The sequence below is a fragment of the Homo sapiens genome, chromosome 7 (genome assembly GCF_000001405.40).
Source record: "Homo sapiens chromosome 7, GRCh38.p14 Primary Assembly".
In the NCBI taxonomy this organism is placed as follows: domain Eukaryota; kingdom Metazoa; phylum Chordata; class Mammalia; order Primates; family Hominidae; genus Homo; species Homo sapiens.
The window spans coordinates 111483995-111505542 of NC_000007.14; the positions used below are offsets into that span (position 1 = coordinate 111483995).

At 38.2% G+C, this 21548-nt stretch overlaps 1 protein-coding gene across 28 annotated transcripts in view; it reads right to left on the minus strand.

Annotated features, from left to right (window-relative positions):
• Positions 1 to 21548, minus strand: part of IMMP2L (inner mitochondrial membrane peptidase subunit 2) — an 899849-nt gene that overhangs the window by 821351 nt on the left and 56950 nt on the right. For all 28 annotated transcript variants that reach the window (XR_007060162.1, NM_001350963.2, NM_001244606.2 and 25 more), the window contains one exon: positions 3244 to 3347. Coding sequence is in view for 27 of the 28 variants with exons in the window: in NM_001350963.2 (NP_001337892.1) it covers positions 3244 to 3347 (104 nt within the window). In the remaining variant the exon portion in view is untranslated. The remainder of the gene's footprint in view (positions 1 to 3243; positions 3348 to 21548) is intronic.

Genomic DNA, 21548 nt, shown 5'->3' on the forward strand with positions numbered 1-21548 from the left:
CAAAACAATGAGGAGAGCATACAACTCTGGTATCAGTACATTTTGTACAAAGCTTACAAGCTTTTCTCTATTTATGACTTGTAATGATAATGTCTTTCTGCCCTTGCATCCACAGACAGCCTCAACCCTTCCTTATACCACCTACCACCAAGCTATCTTCACCTTTTATGTTTTAAGTAAAACACTACTTTTACTGCAGTTTAATTATTAGAAACTTCATGTCTTTTAAACTGTGTTAGTATTTTTATTGACATTGTTATTGTTTTCATCAGTGCTCTGGTTATAAAGTTGAATAAGCCCTACTGATTTAAGTAAGAATTTGGAAACTGCAAATTTTCCAGAAAAGCACACATAATATTATAGTAGAAATGGTGTATTACCACACATTCTGAATACATTGTCTCAAGATTTTTTTAATATAAAAAGGTTATACTGGTTTGTTTTCAAAGATTACTTATTTATCAATGAAGTATACTGTTAATATCAATTTCTAAACAAAATTACGAAGTGTATTTTATCATCAGCTTTAAATCGAACATTTTAATATACACTTCTGTATGTGTCACACATTTCTTAAATAAATAGGATGTTCCAATGTAGTAACAAAAATTATCATCTATGTTAAAAACAAACTGATGCATTGTATAAGAAAAGCAAATATTCAATATTTGATATAAATTAAATGTATATTATGAACTGCAATCAAACCAACATCAATCTTCTAAAATGAAGCAGTTTCTAAATTGTATGAAAATACATGGATATGGTCTAGAAAGCATGTTTCATCATAAGACTAAAAAGATACTTTTTATTAGGCAGGGTCTCACTGTCACCCAGGCTGGAGTGCAGTGGCACAATCACAGATTACTGCAGTCTCGACCTCCCAGGCTCAATCGATCTTCCTACCTCAGCCTCCCAGGTAGCTAAGAACTACAGGCACGCATCACCAAACCCGGCTAATTTTTGTATTTTTTGTAGAGACAGGGTTTCACCGTGTTGCCCAGGCTGGTCTCAAACTCCTGGGCTTAAGGGATCCACACACCTTGCCCTCCCAAAGTGCCAGGATTACAGGCCTGAGCCACCTGGCCCTGACCTAAAAAAATACTTTAAATAATGCTAAAGAAGAATTTAGCATCAGATTTTTTGTTTCTTTCTCAAAGCAACAATATTGCTTCACGATCATCTGTTGTTAAATATATAATACTAGTAACTAAGCACTCTTTTATGTAAATGGCTCCTCCTAAGAACAAGCACATGAAAGTTTGTGTTATTTGTACATGACAAAGATATAGCACATAACTGAGTCATTAAAAACACAGTTCAGGCCGGGCGCAGTGGCTCACGCCTGTAATCCCAGCACTTTGGGAGGCCGAGGTGGATAGATTATGAGGTCAGGAGATCAAGACCATCGTGGCTAACACGGTGAAACCCGTCTCTACTAAAAATACAAAAAATTAGCTGGGCGTGGTGGTGGGCCCCTGTAGTCCCAACTACTCAGGAGGCTGAAGCAGGAGAATGGCCTGAACCCAGGAGGCGGGGCTTGCAGTGAGCCGAGATCCCGCCACTGCACTCCAGCCTGCGCAACAGAGCGAGACTCTGTTTCAAAAAAAAAAAAAAAAAAAAAAAAAAAACACAGTTCAACTGGAATAGCTATAATTTATATATCAATCCCAATTTGAATAGAATATTTTTGAAGTTAATGTATATAATAAATATCAATCACTATGAATATTTATATAAAATAGTAGTGTGCTCTTTTTAATATACTCCATGATATGGTAGGATACTTTTATGGACCCATGCAACCCTGAATATCAAGCAGCCCTGTTTTATTTTTCAATTATCTATTTAAGTCCACTTGGTTAGAGATAGTCAGCATGTTTCTCACGGGAAAAAAAAAATACTGCACAATTGTCTGCGTATAGTGTGACCTCTTTCACTTGGGTGGGTATCCTTTCCATCACCAACTAAGTGAGGATATAACCTTGTCAAACCAAAGGCAAAAGAATAATAAGCATATGACAGGCTAACCCAGCATGGAAAAGGTTGTTTAGGAGGTTGCAAAAATAGTACTCGGAATGACAAAATAAAAGTACACTTCAAAGAGCAGGTTAATATTTTTAAAAGCACTCAAAACCTGAGAAGCATTTAATCCCCCTCCTTGGATGTCTGCCATACAAAACTCCACTTGAATTTATTTCATTAGTCACTAACGAGATTTGGTTAATATGTTTTCAAATGAATACTGGTAGAATAGTCTGAAAGAAACACATTTATAGAATATCTATTTCCACAAAGCACTAGCCAAAGGTAAGTACAAATAAGCAGATGATGTCTTGCTTTTACCAATTATAAATTACCATCCAACAAGAAAAAAATCCTTCCAATTCAAGAATCAGAAATACAAATGGGAAAAGTATTTACCCAGTAGCAGGTTTTTACTGTCTCCAAATCAAATGGCAGTAACACTGCTACCTTAATTGCTACCCCTAACTGGCATAACAGGGAATCATACTACAACATTTTTATAAGTATTTGAAACCAGAAGAAATTAGACAAGTTTGGCTACAGTCTTCCTAGTGTAAATTTACTTTTAAAGCAAACAAACAAAAATCTCCAAACCATTTAGGCCTGTCCTAGGACTATGTATTATATCATTGTGTCAGTTATACACACTTTGACATTCCTTTTCTACATTAAGACTGGAATGAAATTTTTGATCCTGACCAGTCATCATATTATAACAGTGAAACAGTGCCACCTTTTGGACCCAAACAGAAGCATCCAGTGCTAGTCTTTCAAACTTCCTTTTTCAGTTAAACTCCTGATGTACATAAATGTCAATGATTTTCATGTCATAATTATCACCTTCTAGGAATACTTTTTAATCTATACAAACCAAGAAAACATTGGGGTAACAAAAAAGTTGCTTACCAAGATGCAAAATTTCAAAATATTCCAAAGTAGTACCAAATGCATGTATTTTTAATAATTTCTAATCAACATTTCATTAAATACATTTCACCAAATCCAAATATGTTAGTCAACTAACATATTTTAAATGCAAAAAATTCTTTTTATAGCATTGTTACACTGCAAAATTGATTTTTTAAAAATGCATTGTATTTAACATGTATTCAATTTAATAATTGGCAATATGATATTAACAGTGGATTACCAGTTAAATCAGCATAAGTATAAATAATTTTATATACAAATATAGTATGCTTCTGAGTTACTTACACCAATGATACAATGTCACCACGGTGTACTTCAAAATTCCTCACTTTCCAGTGGTTCAAAAGCACCACATCAGATGACTGGCTCCCCCCAGGATTCAAAGAAGGCTAGAAAATAAGGAGAAAGAGACACTTCTATCATTTGTATTTTTCAATCTTCATGGTTCTTGCACTTCACAGCTCGAGTGGACTGAAATAAAACATTTCTAATACAGTACCTTTCTATAAATTGCTGTTCTAAAGTAACTGCAAATGATGAGTTTTCAAAAAGGCTCACTGGGATTCTTCACAGATGAACCAGAAAAAAATAAATTACCAATGCTTATTTGAAAGGAACGTGTGCTAGACATTAAAATCTTTAGTAAACTCCAATAAAGAGGTATGAAAAGCCTTAAGAATAATATAAAAACATGAGGAAGAAGTGAGTCAAACCTCCTAACAAAATATCCAGATAGGATCTAATTCCACAGTAGTACACATCATTGTTCCATCTGGGGAAAAGAAGAAATAATCCCAAATCACAGTCATGTCCACAAATCTTCACAGTCATATGAAAAACTGAAGGGGGCAAAAGAAAGATGTGATAGGATTACCATTATAAAATGTATGGATTTCCCACTTTGACCTCTCTTTTCTCAAAAGAGCACATATCCTAAGGGTCCTGGTCCCAGTTTGAGCCTAATAAGGGGCTTTCATCCTAGGATTCAGAGAAGTCTAACTGTGCCTGAGGGTTAATGGATCAAGAACTGAGAAACATTTTGTGTAAGAATTTTTCTAAAGGTCAGGAACCATACAGGCACAAAAATTTGACTGGGGAACTATGAAACCAGCATACCTGTCATTTGGACAGGGGTACAGACAAAGCCAATGAATAACAAGCTTGAGGCAAGAACAGGGGGACAAAATAATTAGAAAAGCTAAGATAGCCTTTTCACTGTTTTTTAAATTTTTTTTCATTTTTTATTTCAATAGGTTTTGTAAGAAAAGACAGTGTTCGGTTACATGAGTTAAGTTCTTCAGCAGTGATTTCTGAGATTCTGGTGCACCCATCACCCGAGCAACGTACACTGTACCCAGTGTGTAGGCTTTTATCCCTCACCACCACCCACATTTTCCCCCAAGTCCCCAAAGTCCAATGTGTCATTCTTATGCCTTTGTGCCCTCATAGCTTAGCTCCCACATATCAGTGAGAACATACAATGTCTGGTTTTCCATTCATGACTTACTTCACTTAGATTAATAGTCTCCAATTCCTTTCAGATTGCTGTGAATAACATTATTTCGTTCCTTTTTATGGCTGAGTAATATATATACACACCACATTTTCTTTATCCACTCGTTGACTGATGGGCATTTGGGCTGGTTCCATATTTTTGCAACTGTAAATTGTGCTGCTATAAACGTGCGTGCAAGTACACATCTTTTTCATATAATGAGTTATTTTTTCATATAATGAGTTTATTTTCCTCTGGGTAGATACCTAGTATTGCTAGGGACTGCTGGATCAAACGGTTGATCGACTTTAGTTATTTAAGGAACCTCGATGCTGTTTTTCATAGTGGTTGTACTAGTTTACATTGCCACCAGCAGCGTAAAAGTGTTTCCTTTTCACCACATACACATCAACATCTATTATTCTTTGATTTTTTGATTATGGCCACTCTTGCAGGAGTGAGGTAGTATTGCATTGTGGTTTTGATTTGCACTTCCCTGATAATTAAAGATGTTGAAGATTTTTTCATATGCTTATTGGCCATTTGTGTATCTTCTCTTGAGAATTGTCTATTCATGTCCTCAATCCACTTTTTTTTTTTTTTTTTTTTTTTTTGAGATGGAGTCTCACACCGTCGCCCAGGCTGGAGTGCAGTGGCATCATCTCCGCTCACTGCAATCTCCGCCTCCCGGGTTCATGCCATTCTCCTGCCTCAGCCTCCCGAGTAGCTGGGACTAGAGGCGCCTGCCATCACGCCCAGCTAATTTTTTTTATTTTTAGTAGAGACGGGGTTTCACCATGTTAGCCAGGATGGTCTCAATCTCCTGACCTTGTGATCTGCCCGCCTCGGCCTCCCAAAGTGCTGGGATTACAGGCGTGAGCCACCGCGCCTGGCCTCAGCCCACTTTTTGCTGCGGTTGTCCTTTCTTGCTGATTTGAGTTCTGACTCTCCAATAATGCTACCATGGGAAGTGGCCATTTCTGTGGTGACAGGAAAGGTGCCAAGCTTCCTCTCCGCCTTCACTGAGGGGCTGATGACAGCAGCCAGTGGAGACACAACAACAACCAGGGCAGAAGCAAGGAAAATAGTGAACGCAGGGCAACAGCCAGTCCCTGGAGCAGTAATGACGTGCCTTTTGTTAAAGATTCCTGGGATTATTTGCAGATTTTCTACAAAGCAAGAGTTGACAAATATGTCAAAATTCTGCATGGAGGCTATTATCTTGACACTATTTTTGATCCAGGGTTTTGCAGCTGAAAAATACTGGTTATCCTTGAACACCTCAAACACTTTCAGAACTTTCACCAACTCCTTTAGTGATAATACCTAAATCCCTAACTTAAATTCCCTGCTACTCATTTCACTTAACTACCTGACAAAAAATTCAACAGGATTAAAATGGAATTTGTTATCATTTCAACAAATAAATTTTTTTTTGAGACAGTCTCTTCTGCTTTTCTGCCTCAGCCTCCTGAGTAGAGCTGCGACTACAGGTGTGCGCCACTATGCCCAGCTAATTTTTGTATTTTTAGTAGAGACGGGGTTTCACCATATTGGCCAGGCTGGTCTCGAACTCCTGATCTCGTGATCCGCCCGCCTCAGCCTCCCAAAGTGCTGTCATTACACACGTGAGCCACCACGCCTGCCCTCTTTTTTTTTTTTTTTTTTTTAAGAGGGTCTCGCTCTGTCACTTAGGCTGGAGTGCACCGGCATGATCATAGTTCACTGTAGCCTTGAACTCCTGGGCTCAGTCTCCCAGTTCCAGTTCCCAGGTAGCTAGGACTACAGGTCTACAAGTGCATACCACCACATCCAGCTAAGTCGGGTTTTTTTTTTCCTTTTTTTTTTTTTAGAGATGGGAGGGTCTTGCTATGTTGAGCAGGATGGTCTTGAACTCCTGACCTCAAGCAATCCTCCTGCCTTATCAACCAAAGCGCTGAGATTACAGGTAGGAGCCACCATGCCCAGCCCTTTCTTATTTTCTTACATCCGGGTTACCCTTTTCCCAGTCAACCAGTTTAAAAACTTAGTTGTCTTCTTACTTCTCATCCAACCAGTCAGCAAGCTAAAGGGATCTTTTTTTAATCATAATGTCTTCTACTTCTGGCACGTTTTCTTTCCTCTCTAGTATCATCATATTTCAAGCACCAATCATTATGTAACTCATGCTATATCTACACTAATCAGTCTCTCACCTCCAACTTAGAAATGATTCCATTTCTTTCTAGTTATATGATCTTCAGCAAGTTACTTAACTTCATTATGCCACTCATTACTAGGAAAATGGTGATGAATAATAACTATTATCTAATTAATAATTAAATAATAATAGCCAATACCTACGAAGTACTTACCATGTGTCCTGGTCTAATAATAATAGCCAGACATGTTAAGTGCTTACCATGTGCAAGACACTGTTTAACAGCTTTACAAATATAGTTGACCCTTGAATAACACAGGTTTGAACTGCGTGGGTCCAACAATACACAGATTTTTTTCAATAAAAGTTACACTGAGTGTGCCTGCCTCTCCTGCTTCCCTTTCCCACCTCTTCTACATCTGCCACCCCTGAGACAGTAAGACTAACTCCTCTTCTTTCTCCTCCTCCTCCTTAGCCTACTCAATATGAAGACAGTGAGGATGAAGTCCTTTACGATGATCCTCTTCCACTTAAGAAACAAAAATATATTTTTCTCTTTCTTATGATGTTCTTAATAACATTTTCTTTTCCCTATCTTACTTTATTGTAAAAATATAGTATATAATACATATAGCATATAAAAATATGTGTTAATCTCACTGTTTATGTTAACAGTAAGGCTTCTGGTCAGGAGCAGACTATTAGTAGTTAAGTTGTGGGGTGTGGGACAGTCAAAAGTTATATGCAAATTTTTAACTGCATGGGAGTTGGGTCCCTCACCCCCTCGTTGTTCAAGAGTGAACTGCGCTACCTTATTTGGTAAGATCATTCATTTAAAGTGCTTATGGTAGTTCTTGGCCCATACTTACCTCTCAGTAACTTCTATTATTGATATTTCTACATCACAATTTTAATTTTAAGCAGGTCTGTACTCTCTACCCCCAGGTTCCTCCTATGTCTCTATCTCTAGTGAGGAACAGAGTTGATATGGTAGCATAAGTCCAAAGGGCTTTACTGAGCCATGGTGCTGAGGAATGGAGCTTTTGTCATCACAACAGTAGGTCAGATTATTAAAAGGTGAGCTTTCACAAGGGTATGCTCTCTATCTCATTCATATTTCTCATTCAAATTCTCTATCTCCCTCTTCCTCTCTGTCTTTGACCTCAGTATCCACAGGTCCTCTTCCCTAATTTATTTGTATTCTTTTTCCTATATAACTGACACTGTAAAGGTGACCTGGAGGGAGACCATCTGGGCTCTGGACCATAAAGAGAAAATATTCCTATTGAACTTTCACTGCATTCGTTTTTTTTTTCTTTTTTCTTGCCATAATAGTGAAGGAACAAAAGGTGATTTAATTATTTCTGACTGTTCTCCTTGGTCTCTTTTACTGGTGTTTTTTTTGAAGTTTGTGACCACAACTCATAAGATCAAAAATCCCAAGTTCACCATCACAGCCTATGATTATTTCTATAATAATATTTAAATATGCATTATAATCACTCCCTTGTCTCTCTTTCCAAGAGTCTATAAGCTCTTTTTTTTTCTAAGTTTTGAGAATAAATTATTTCCTATGCCTATATTTTTGAGATCGAGCACTTTGCAGGTAATTAACACATTTTAGTGGAAAGAATTTAAAAAAATCAATTAGTGGAATTTCCAAAGATTTTCAAAATTAACAAGGTCAAAACAAAGATCCTATTCCAGCCCACTCCAGCCCCCAAATATACTTCCCCTCCTTATTTAACAGTAGTACCACTTACCCTATCCCCCATACTAGAAGACTCATAAGTCAGGTCCAGTTTCTAACCCGCTCTTTGGATGCCTCATTATCAGACTTCCCCTCTGTCAAGAATGTTTTTTCCCCACTTGGAAACTTCTAGTCATTTGTCAAAGTCCTTATCTGATGGGGACTCCTCTGTAAAGCCTTTAAAAAGAATAAAAAACATGCTGCAGTTCCCTTAAGGAAATTGGAAAATTATATCTTGGTGTTCCAACAATGGGGATAGAAAAATCCCCACTGACCCAAATTTTAACTTCGTCTTTCCCTTATAGAATCACTCAAATGCCCAACTTTTCTAATTGTAATTGTTAGAACCAAAAGGTAAAGCATTATAAACAAAAGATTTATGCAAGGGAAGAAAACAGAAGGAAGCATGTCTAACTTCCAATAGTGAAGTAAGTATTAGAATCAACAGTCAACACCTGAATGACATTGCTTGATTTTATAAAGGAAGCAACAGAGTTTTCTTTTACCTTTTCTTTCCTCCACAAGTTTAAATTAGCTACTCCCTCATGTGCGCTCCCATAGCAATGCAGGTACTTAATAGGTATCTGCCTACAGATAAGACTCTTCCACTCAGGTGTAAGTTTCTCAACTGCTGAAACCGTGTCTTAGCCATTTTTGTACACCTAATCCCAGAACAGTGATTGGAAAATAATATTTCTATAAAGTCTAAAAGATTAAAGGTTTTTAAAAGCGTATTTAAATCAGATAGTTTCTAGAATATACATTATCTAAATAATGTATACATCTCTTTCAATGAAAACATATTCTAGATAAGTATAGCAATAAATTTTTTGTGTCTCATCAAGTTAGGCAATTTAAGAGTTAGAAATAGTTGAATAGGGCTTTGTTATTCATAATGAAATAATGGTAATCACAACACAATAAACTATCTTGTTTATTTATTAATCTAACACTTATGAATATCAACAAAACATCATAAAGAAAAACCTTCTTGAATTGGGAAGTTGTTCCTATGGCACTATAAGAACCACAGTTTTCTGTACTTCACTAAAAACAAAAGCTTTATTAAAAAGAAAAAAAACAGGCCGGGCGCAGTGGCTCACGCCTGTAATCCCAGCACTTTGGGAGGCCAAGGTGGGTGGATCACGAGGTCAGGAGATCGAGACCATCCTGGCTAACACGGTGAAACCCCGTCTCTACCAAAAATGCAAAAAAAAATTAGCCGGGCGTGGGGGCGGGCGCCTGTAGTCCCAGCTACTCGGGAGGCTGAGACAGGAGAACGGCGTGAACCCGGGAGGCGGAGCTTGCAGTGAGCGGAGATCGCGCCACTGCACTCCAGCCTGGGCGACAGAGCAAGACTCCGTCTCAAAAAAAAAGAAAAAAACAGTGGCCGGTCACGGTGGTTCACGCCTGTAATCCCAGCACTTTGGGAGGCCGAGGCAGGCAGATCATGAGGTCAGGAGATCGAGATCATCCTGGCTCAACACGGTGAAACCCCGTCTCTGCCAAAAAATTAGCCGGGTGTAGTGGTGGGCCGCTGTAGTCCCAGCTACTCGGGAGGCTGAGGCAGGAGAATGGCGTGAACCCAGGAGGCGGGGCTTGCAGTGAGCCGAGACCACGCCACTGCACTCCAGCCTGGGGCGACAGAGCAAGACTCCGTCTCTAAAAAAAATATAGAGCAAGCAATTTTTTCAAATCGATGAAGTTAAACACATCAAGTAGAAATTAAAAGTCATAAATAATAATTTGATATGGCCACAGAATCTGTATTTTCTTGTTATATTGTTAATATTTAAATCCTAGATTCCAAGAGACTACATCAAAATATAACTAACTTAAAATAATAAAGTGTTTGAAGAAATCTCAGAGAATATTTAATCTAGGAGTTTCCACCTGTATCTCCAAGTATTTGATTGTATCAGATATTCCTGCTAGTAGTCACAGTGATTTCCAGTAGCAAAAGGAAAAACACTAACAAAGAACAAAAAAAGCCAAACATCTGCTCTGGACTGAGTAAGAAAGACCCACCCTCACCCAAGGTGGGCAGACACCATACAATTAGTTGAGAGCTTGGAAACAACAACAAGGAAGAGGAAAGGTAAATATTCTCTGTCTGTCTCTCTCAACAACTTGCATTCTCACACTCATCTATTTCTCTGCTTCTACCATGGACCACTAAAGTTAAAAATCAAACTTGGAGAAGTGTTTTGAATAGTCCTTGCCCTAAACACAGAAAACTATGTTCAAATCTTGTCTCCATTTCTTATTAACCATATTACTTTAAACAGATTATTTAACCTGTCTCATTTCCTCATCTATAAAATGGGGACTGACTGCAGGAACACTGATCTCATGGAGTTGCTACAAGAATTAAATGAGACAGTCTACAAAACATTACAGTCATGAAACAGAGTAGCAGTCAACAAATAGGACACTAATGATGATGGCAACAATAACAAAATAAAGGGAAACAATATCAGGTACAGTATCCTTTCCACAAGATTTAAGAAAAATTAAACATTTAAATATTGCCCTGCACATTTCTCATTTTACATAGTAAACTGAAAGTATTCAGGCAGAAAATTCTACCCCTCATTTCTAAATTCTTTGTTGATTGTTTCCTCACTTTTTTAAAGCAAGTAAAGTTAGGATGCTTTTATGTGGGGCCTTAATTGTTCTGCCTCTATAAATTAATCCAAAAAAATTTAATATGCATAATTAGTTATGAATACCTATAAAATACCTAAAGAATTTTACACCCGTTATGTTTTACATTCTTATTTTTAAAACATATACACACATACAGATATATATAAAAACATATGCATTTAAAAATCTAACAGTTCTTAGCTCTGGTTGATGAAATGATTTCCATTTTCTCCCTCCCTACTGCTTACCCCTCCCCACACCTTGTTTTCCTCTGGCTCAGTTGTATCTCACAAATTGTTTTTTATAATGAACATATATTTAGTTTGTATGCTTTGCTCTGACCTAAGTACTATATAGTTCACTCTAAGAAATACAATATAAGTCAGCATATTTCAACAGATGTTAGTAAGTTATGCTAAAGCTAGAAATAGCCAATATCTATCAAATCTGCTTTTGGAACAAGCATAACACAAAAGTTAGGCTTTAATCTTTTCTCTGATCAAAGACTATGCTGAAGGATTTTTATTTGTCCTACAAACAAATATTATTGTCAAGGTATCCTAAATCCTCAGCTTGTGTCTAACCTCAAATCATATGACAGGTTTGGAAGAATTTATCTTTCGGTTTACGAAAATAAAATTCTCCTAGAGAATTAAGCACAGTCACAGTACACTTCCTGTTTTGTAAGACTTAACTGAAGCCATCAATCAATAAATGATATTATTCTGGCTTTTTACTATAAATTTTTTATTCATTTTTTAATTTTAAAGAATCTACAGCCTATGATTCACTGCCTCCAAGATATAAAGAAAGCCTGGTTTTGACCTTACTTCTTTGGGTACAATGCTTTCAACCTTTTCAGGCTTATAAAAAGCACCACTCACACTGGCTACATACAATCTACAACAGGTAAATATCAAACTTTGTGCTTTTAAGTGAGATGGAGCCCAGCTGCAGCCACAAGGACCCAACAGTAGCCCTCAGACTTCTTTTGAAGAACCATTACTTTGAAGACATATCTGTGGAGGCGGGGGCAATAACAGAAGAAACTGAAATAGTACTGTTGATTTAGACTTTTTAACACTGCAGCACTGGCCAAGAAGCATGAAGTAAGTACAGTTAAAGTAAATGTACATTCTGATTAAGAATTATTAGATGTCACACCTTTGAAAGAATGCGGACAATATGGTCTACAATGCCGTCTTTCTTCCCTTGCTATTCAGGGGTCTCCATAATTTGCATGGCTTCTAGAATTCTCAGATTTGTCTCACTAGGTGTGCATAATAAAATAGACTATAATGTACCCAGGTCTGTACAAAGCTGTAAGTTAGAAATGGAACATTCCTTTTATATCATGGGTACTTATTACCCATACCCCTTCTGATGGTTAATTTTAGGTGTCAACTTGACTAGATTAAGGCTACCCAGAATGCTAAGAAAGCATTATTCTGGGTATATCTGTGAGGGAGTGTTCCCAGGAGAGATTGGCCTTTGAAGCACTGGATTGAGTAAGAAAGATCCACCCTCACCCAACATGGGCAGGCACCATGCAATTAGTTGAGGGCTTGGATACAAGAACAAGGAAGAGGAAAGGTAAATATTTTCATATTCTCTCTCGCTCTCTCTCTCCTGACGCTGGGACAACCTTCTTCTCTTTCCATTGCAAATCTTAGAACTCCAGGTCCTCTGACTTTTAGACTCTGGGACTTGAACCAGCAGCCCCCAGGTCTCAGGCCCTTGGCCTTGGACTGAGAGTTATACCATCAGCTTCTGTGGTTCTGAGGCCTTCAGACTTGGACTGAGCCAAGCTACCTGGACCTCCAGCTTGCACATAGCCTATAATGAAACTTCTTAGCCTCCATGATCACATGACCCAATTCCCCTAATAAATTCCCTCTCATAGATAGATACATAGATAGATAGATAGATAGATAGATAGACAGACAGACAGATAAATATCCTATTCGTTCTGTCTCTCCGGTGAGATCTAATTATAATATAATTTCTTAATTTTTCTTTTAAAAGCAAGCCTGTAAAACTACATTAATAAAATAAAAGTGAACATATAACATATTGATTTAATTCAGAATTACACTAGGTTGTTAATTTTTCATTCTCCTAATCTTAACTGCATGTTCTACTATAGAACGCCCCATCAAAGTGTCACAGGCACGCTCACATACTACCTGTAGGAATGAAAATCTTTATAAACTATCAACAAGGTAATTTGCCAAAATATATTTAAAGTCTTAAAAGTGATCTTGTCCTTAGACTTGAAAATGTCACATTTAAAAAGATTTCCTAAGAAACTAATTGGACATATGTGCAAAGGAACATATACAAAGATATTCATAATACATTATTTACAATAGTGAATAGCTTCTTAGTCTTTTAGCTAAAATCAAGTGAATAACTGAGCCAAGCTCAATACCAATAATAGGAAACTGATTAAACCTTGGTTTAGCAATGGTTAAACTTTATGGATATTAAAAAATGATTGTAAAAATTACATTGTGGAAAAATATATATTTGGATATGTCTGGAGAATAAGTGAAAAATGCGACATAGAAAAAACAAACTGCTATGATCCAATTTCAGGAAAGACAGGACGGAAGAAAAAAGGGAAAAACCTTAAAAGAATAAAGTAAAGAAGGAAATTGTGCAGAAAAGAAAGAGAGTAACTTATAATGGTTTAGAAATGCAAACTTCAAAGTCAGAAGCTGGGTTTAAATCTATGCAATCTTCAGTAAGTTATCCCATCTCTCTGATTGTATTTCTTCATCTGTTAAGTGGGCTAACATAGTATCTTCATCATACAGTTGTGGGTGATATTAAATAAACTAATATATATAAAGTCAATACTGTAATGACTTGAACATAGTGATCATTCAATAATTTTTCACTATTAGTATTATATAATAATATATTTAAAATAAATAATTCTGAAAGGTGGTATCAATTATTTATTTTCCACATTTTTCTATGTTTTCTAAGTTTTTTGCCAATCAATATGCAGTGCTTTTATATTAATGTAAGCACTAAGCAATGAATTGTTTTTGAAGGGGAAAGCATCTGATTTTTATATCCTCTTATTACTAATATTTTTAAAGTTTGTGTTCTTTAAACAAGCTCTTCAGTATTTAAGCATCTCTTTAATTCAGGTCGCTACAACTAGATTGCAAGGTTCAAATCTGCAAAGTTTCTGTTTCAATGCACTAATTATAAAATACTACCATTAAATACGTGCATTGTGTTTCCTAGCTAATAAAACATGTTTTGAGATAGCTATTCTAATTTATAGTTCTAATTAACCATATCAGAAATAGATCACATATAGTCAATGAAATATAAAATTTATATAAACATATCTGCATATTAACCTGAAGACAGACTGCTATATATAAAATAAGCCAGCTACACGGAAAAACCCCAGCAAGATACATGCGGAATCTTTAACTTCCTCATAAAACTGAATAAGGCTTTCCTATTCATTGCTAAGTTTTTCTTGCTCAGAACCACTTTTCTGTCTCCTAACCTAATTAAAAAAAAAAAGGTCATAGTAAGGTGTGTAGCACAGAAAGGAAGTGATTCAACAAATAACAAAGATTTTAGGAGGCTGCATGATTCCCTCAGAAGCATGTAACTCCAAAGAGGCCAAATTCCCCAACATATACAATGGTGTAGCAATCTATTCACATGGCTTATATAATATCTGTGAACAAATCTGTGAAGATAATACCATGGATTTTAGATCCTTTAGTTCTTCATTGTTGAACCTGATGCTGCATTATAAGGAAAAAAATAAAAAAGAACCAGTCAGCATCCTAACACTACAAATGTGTATCAACAGGAATTTTGGTACCTGGGTACCCTAAATTACATTGATCAAAGCTATAAGAACAAAGGAGCTCAAATGCATAGGAAACAGCTTATCAAAAGGAACTGAAAAGCATTCTGGCAGATAAAAAGGGGGAAAAAAGGATATATACCTTATATCATTTATCTACTGCTACAAAACAAACCACTCCAAAACTTAAAACAAAAATCATTTATTGGTTCATGATTCCACAATTTAGGCTATGCTTAGCTATGCAATTAGCCAGCTTGTCTGGCTGTGATCACTCAGGCAGCTGCAGCCATGGAGGCAGCAGTGTTCCAGGAGCAAAAACTCCCTCGTGTAAGCATCTACCAAGCCTCTGTTTGCGTATTTGCTGATATTCCACCAGCCAAAATGAGTCATAAGGCCAAGTCAAGAATCAGCATAGGTGAGGATGACATAGAGCTCAGTACCGAGGAGCATGACTCATGGGGGATGGGGTAGACAGGGAATATCAATGTAATAATCTACCAAAACTCTGCCCTCTAGCTCCAATGAATCATATCCCTCACATATGCAAAATACATATAACCCTTCCTAAGAGCCCCAAGGTCTCCTCAGATGTTTGCAATAGGATTCATATCCGTTAATTCATGATATGCATCAGGTCCCAGGTCCCAGTATGGAAGAGGACTCTAGGGTGCAGCTCATCTCAAATCAGAGACTTATGAAGTGAAAAGATAAATTATCTGTTCCCCAAACACCAAACATATAATGGAAAGACAGAAAGAAGATAACCATGGATTTTAAAAAGCAATGAAAAAAGCATAGAAGTCACTTGTCCATAGAAAGCTTAAAATCCAGCAGCATGTGTTGTCAAGGCCTCCCATCTCATGGAGAGAAATGTCCTTTAATTAAGATTCTTTTCTGTTCTCTGGAATGGTTCCCTAATTTATTGGTCTGCATGGCTCTTAGCTCTGCCCTCTGGGCTTTGGGCTCTTTTTTAAAAAGGAGGCCCGGTGGAGCCAAGATGGCCAAATAGGAACAGCTCTGGTCTACAGCTCCCAGAATGAGCGACGCAGAAGACGGGTGATTTCTGCATTTCCATCTGAGGTACCGGGTTCATCTCACTAGGGAGTGCCAGACAGCAGGTGCAGGACAGTGGGTGCAGAGCACCAGGCACAAGCCAAAGCAGGGTGAGGCATTGCCTCACTCGGGAAGCACAAGGGGTCAGGGAGTTCCCTTTCCTAGTCAAAGAAAGAGGTGACAGATGGCACCTGGAAAATCGGGTCACTCCCACCCTAATACTGCGCTTTTCCAACAGGCTTAAAAAAACGGCATACCAGGAGATTATATCCCGCACCTGGCTCAGAGGGTCCTATGCCCATGGAGTCTCGCTGATTGCTAGCACAGCAGTCTGAGATCAAAATGCAAGGCGGCAGCGAGGCTGGGGAAGGGGCGCCTGCCATTGCCGAGGCTCGATTAGGTAAACAAAGCAGCCCTGAAGCTCGAACTACGCGGAGACTACCACAGCTCAAGGAGGCCTGCCTGCCTCTGTAGGCTCCACCTCTGGGGGCAGGGCACAGACAAACAAAAAGACAGCAGTAACCTCTGCAGACTTAAATGTCCCTGTCTGACAGCTTTGAAGAGAGTAGTGGTTCTCCCAGCACACAGCTGGAGATCTGAGAAAGGGCAGACTGCCTCCTCAAGTGGGTCCCTGACTCCCAAGCAGCCTAAATGGGAGGCATCCGCCAGTACGGGCAGACTGACACCTCACATGGCCGGGTACTCCTCTGAGACAAAACTTCCAGAGGAACAATCAGGCAGGAGCATTTGCGGATCACCAACATCCACTTTTCTACAGCCACCGCTGTTCTGCAGCCACCGCTGCTGATACCCAGGCATACAGGGTCTGGAGTGGACATCTAGCAAACTCCAACAGACCTGCAGCTGAGGGTCCTGTCTGTTAGAAGGAAAACTAACAAACAGAAAGGACATCCACACCAAAAACCCATCTGTACGTCACCATCATCAAAGACCAAAAGTAGATAAAACCACAAAGATGGGGGAAAAACAGAGCAGAAAAACTGGAAACTCTAAAAAGCAGAGTGCCTCTCCTCCTCCAAAGGAACGCAGCTCCTCACCAGCAACGGAACAAAGCTGGACGGAGAATGACTTTGACGAGTTGAGAGAAGAAGGCTTCAGACGATCAAACTACTCCGAGCTACAGGAGGAAATTCAAACCAATGGCAAAGAAGTTAAAAACTTTGAAAAAAAATTAGACGAATGGATACCTAGAATAACCAATGCAGAGAAGTCCTTAAAGGAGCTGATGGAGCTGAAAGCCAAGGCTCGAGAACTACGTGAAGAATGCAGAAGCCTCAGGAGCCGATGCGATCAACTGGAAGAAAGGGTATCAGTGATGGAAGACGAAATGAATGAAATGAAGCGAGAAGGGAAGTTTAGAGAAAAAAGAATAAAAAGAAACAAACAAAGCCTCCAAGAAATATGGGACTATGTGAAAAGACCAAATCTACGTCTGATTGGTGTACCTGAAAGTGACGGGGAGAATGGAACCAACTTGGAAAACACTCTGCAGGATATTATCCAGGAGAACTTCCCCAGTCTAGCAAGGCAGGCCAACATTCAAATTCAGGAAATACAGAGAACGCCACAAAGATACTCCTCGAGAAGAGCAACTCCAAGACACATAACTGTCACATTCACCAAAGTTGAAATGAAGGAAAAAATGTTAAGGGCAGCCAGAGAGAAAGGTCGGGTTACCCACAAAGGGAAGCCCATCAGACAAACAGCGGATCTCTCAGCAGAAACTCTACAAGCCAGAAGAGAGTGGGGGCCAATATTCAACATTCTTAAAGAAAAGAATTTTCAACCCAGAATTTCATATCCAGCCAAACTAAGCTTCATAAGTGAAGGAGAAATAAAATACTTTACAGAGATGCACATGCTGAGAGATTCTGTCACCACCAGGCCTGCCCTAAAAGAGCTCCTGAAGGAAGCACTAAACATAGAAAGGAACAACCGGTACCAGCCACTGCAAAACATGCCAAAATGTAAAGACCATCAAGGCTAGGAAGAAACTGCATCAACTAATGAGCAAAATAACCAGCTAACATCATAATGACAGGACCAAATTCACACATAACAATATTAACTTTAAATGTAAATGGGCTAAATGCTCCAATTAAAAGACACAGACTGGCAAATTGGATAAAGAGTCATACATCAGTGTGCTGTATTCAGGAAACCCATCTCACGTGCAGAGACACACATAGGCTCAAAATAAAGGGATGGAGGAAGATCTACCAAGCAAATGGAAAACAAAAAAAGGCAGGGATTGCAATCCTAGTCTCTGACAAAACAGACTTTAAACCAACAAAGATCAAAAGAGACAAAGAAGGCCATTACATAATGGTAAAGGGATCAATTCAACAAGAAGAGCTAACTATCCTAAATATATATGCACCCAATACAGGAGCACCCAGGTTCATAAAGCAAGTCCTTAGTGACCTACAAAGAGACTTAGACTCCCACACAATAATAATGGGAGACTTTAACACCCCGCTGTCAACATTAGACAGATCAACGAGACAGAAAGTTAACAAGGATATCCAGGAATTGAACTCACCTCTGCCCCAAGCATACCTAATAGACATCTACAGAACTCTCCACCCCAAATCAACAGAATATACATTTTTTTTCAGCACCACACCACACCTATTCCAAAATTGACCACATAGTTGGAAGTAAAGCACTCCTCAGCAAATGTAAAAAACAGAAATTATAACAAACTATCTCTCAGACCACAGTGCAATCAAACTAGAACTCAGGATTAAGAAACTCACTCAAAACCACTCAACTACATGGAAACTGAACAACCTGCTCCTGAATGACTACTGGGTACATAACGAAATGAAGGCAGAAATAAAGATGTTCTTTGAAACCAACGAGAACAAAGACACAACATACCAGAATCTCTGGGACACATTCAAAGCAGTGTGCAGAGGGAAATTTATAGCACTAAATGCCCACAAGAGAAAGCAGGAAAGATCCAAAATTGACACCCTAACATCACAATTAAAAGAACTAGAAAAGCAAGAGCAAACACATTCAAAAGCTAGCAGAAGGCAAGAAATAACTAAAATCAGAGCAGAACTGAAGGAAATAGAGACACAAAAAACCCTTCAAAAAATTAATGAATCCAGGAGCTGGTTTTTTGAAAAGATCAACAAAATCGATAGACTGCTAGCAAGACTAATAAAGAAAAAAAGAGAGAAGAATCAAATAGACACAATAAAAAATGATAAAGGGGATATCACAACCGATCCCACAGAAATACAAACTACCATCAGAGAATACTACAAACACCTCTACGCAAATAACTAGAAAATCTAGAAGAAATGGATAAATTCCTCAACACATACACCCTCCCAAGACTAAACCAGGAAGAAGCTGAATCTCTGAATAGAACAATAAGAGGCTCTGAAATTGTGGCAATAATCAATAGCTTACCAACCAAAAAAAGTCCAGGACCAGATGGATTCACAGCCGAATTCTACCAGAGGTACAAGGAGGAGCTGGTACCATTCCTTCTGAAACTATTCCAATCAATAGAAAAAGAGGGAATCCTCCCTAACTCATTTTAGGAGGCCAGCATCATCCTGATACCAAAGCCTGGCAGAGACACAACAAAAAAAGAGAATTTTAGACCAATATCCTTGATGAACATTGATGCAAAAATCCTCAATAAAATACTGGCAAACCAAATCCAGCAGCACATCAAAAAGCTTTTCCACCATGATCAAGTGGGCTTCATCCCTGGGATGAAAGGCTAGTTCAACATACACAAATCAATAAATGTAATCCAGCATATAAACAGAACCAAAGACAAAAACCACATGATTATCTCAATAGATGCAGAAAAGGCCTTTGACAAAATTCAACAACCCTTCATGCTAAAAACTCTCAATAAATTAGATATTGATGGGACGTATCTCAAAATAATAAGAGCTATCTATGACAAACCCACAGCCAATATCATACTGAATGGACAAAAACTGGAAGCATTCCCTTTGAAAACTGGCACAAGACAGGGATGCCCTCTCTCACCACTCCTATTCAACATAGTGTTGGAAATTCTGGCCAGTGCAATCAGGCAGGAGAAGGAAATAAAGGGTATTCAATTAGGAAAAGAGGAAGTCAAATTGTCCCTGTTTGCAGATGACATGATTGTATATCTAGAAAACCCTATTGTCTCAGCCCAAAATCTCCTTAAGCTGATAAGCAACTTCAGCAAAGTCTCAGGATACAAAATCAATGCACAAAAATCACAAGCATTCTTATACACCAATAACAGACAAACAGAGAGCCAAATCATGAGTGAACTACCATTCACAATTGCTTCAAAGAGAATAAAATACCTAGGAATCCAACTTACAAGGGATGTGAAAGACCTCTTCAAGGAGAACTACAAACCACTGCTCAATGAAATAAAAGAGGATATAAACAAATGGAAGGGCATTCCATGCTCATGGGTAGGAAGAATCAATATCGTGAAAATGGCCATACTGCCCAAGGTAATTTATAGATTCAATGCCATCCCCATCAAGCTACCAATGACTTTCTTCACAGAATTGGAAAAAACTACTTTAAAGTTCATATGGAACCAAAAAAGAGCCTGCATCACCAAGTCAATCCTAAGCCAAAAGAACAAAGCTGGAGGCATCATGCTACCTGACTTCAAACTATACTACAAGGCTACAGTAACCAAAACAGCATGGTACTGGTACCAAAACAGAGATATAGATTAATGGAACAGAACAGAGCCCTCAGAAATAATGCCGCATATCTACAACCATCTGATCTTTGACAAACCTGACAAAAACAAGCAATGGGGAAAGGATTTCCTATTTAATAAATGGTGCTGGGAAAACTGGCTAGCCATGTGTAGAAAGCTGAAACTGGATCCCTTCCTTACACCTTATACAAAAATTAATTCAAGATGGATTAAAGACTTACATGTTAGACCTAAAACCATAAAAACCCTAGAAGAAAACCTAGGCAATACCATTCAGGACATAGGCATGGGCAAGGACTTCATGTCTAAAACACCAAAAGCAATGGCAACAAAAGCCAAAACTGACAAATGGGATCTAATTAAACTAAAGAGCTTCTGCACAGCAAAAGAAACTACCATCAGAGTCAACAGGCAACCTACAAAATGGGAAAAAATTTTCGCAACCTACTCATCTGACAAAGGGCTAATATCCAGAATCTACAAAGAACTCAAACAAATTTACAAGAAAAAAAACAAACAACCCCATCAAAAAGTGGGCAAAGGATATGAACAGACACTTCTCAAAAGAAGACATTTATGCAGCCAAAAAACACATGAAAAAATGCTCATCATCACTGGCCATCAGAGAAATGCAAATCAAAACCACAATGAGATACCATCTCACACCAGTTAGAATGGCAATCATTAAAAAGTCAGGAAACAACAGGTGCTGGAGAGGATGTGGAGAAATAGGAACACTTTTACACTGTTGGTGGGACTGTAAACTAGTTCAACCATTGTGGAAGTCAGTGTGGTGATTCCTCAGGGATCTAGAACTAGAAATACCATTTGACCCAGCCATCCCATTGCTGGGTATATACCCAAAGGATTGTAAATCATGCTGCTGTAAAGGCACACACACATATATATTGTGGCACTATT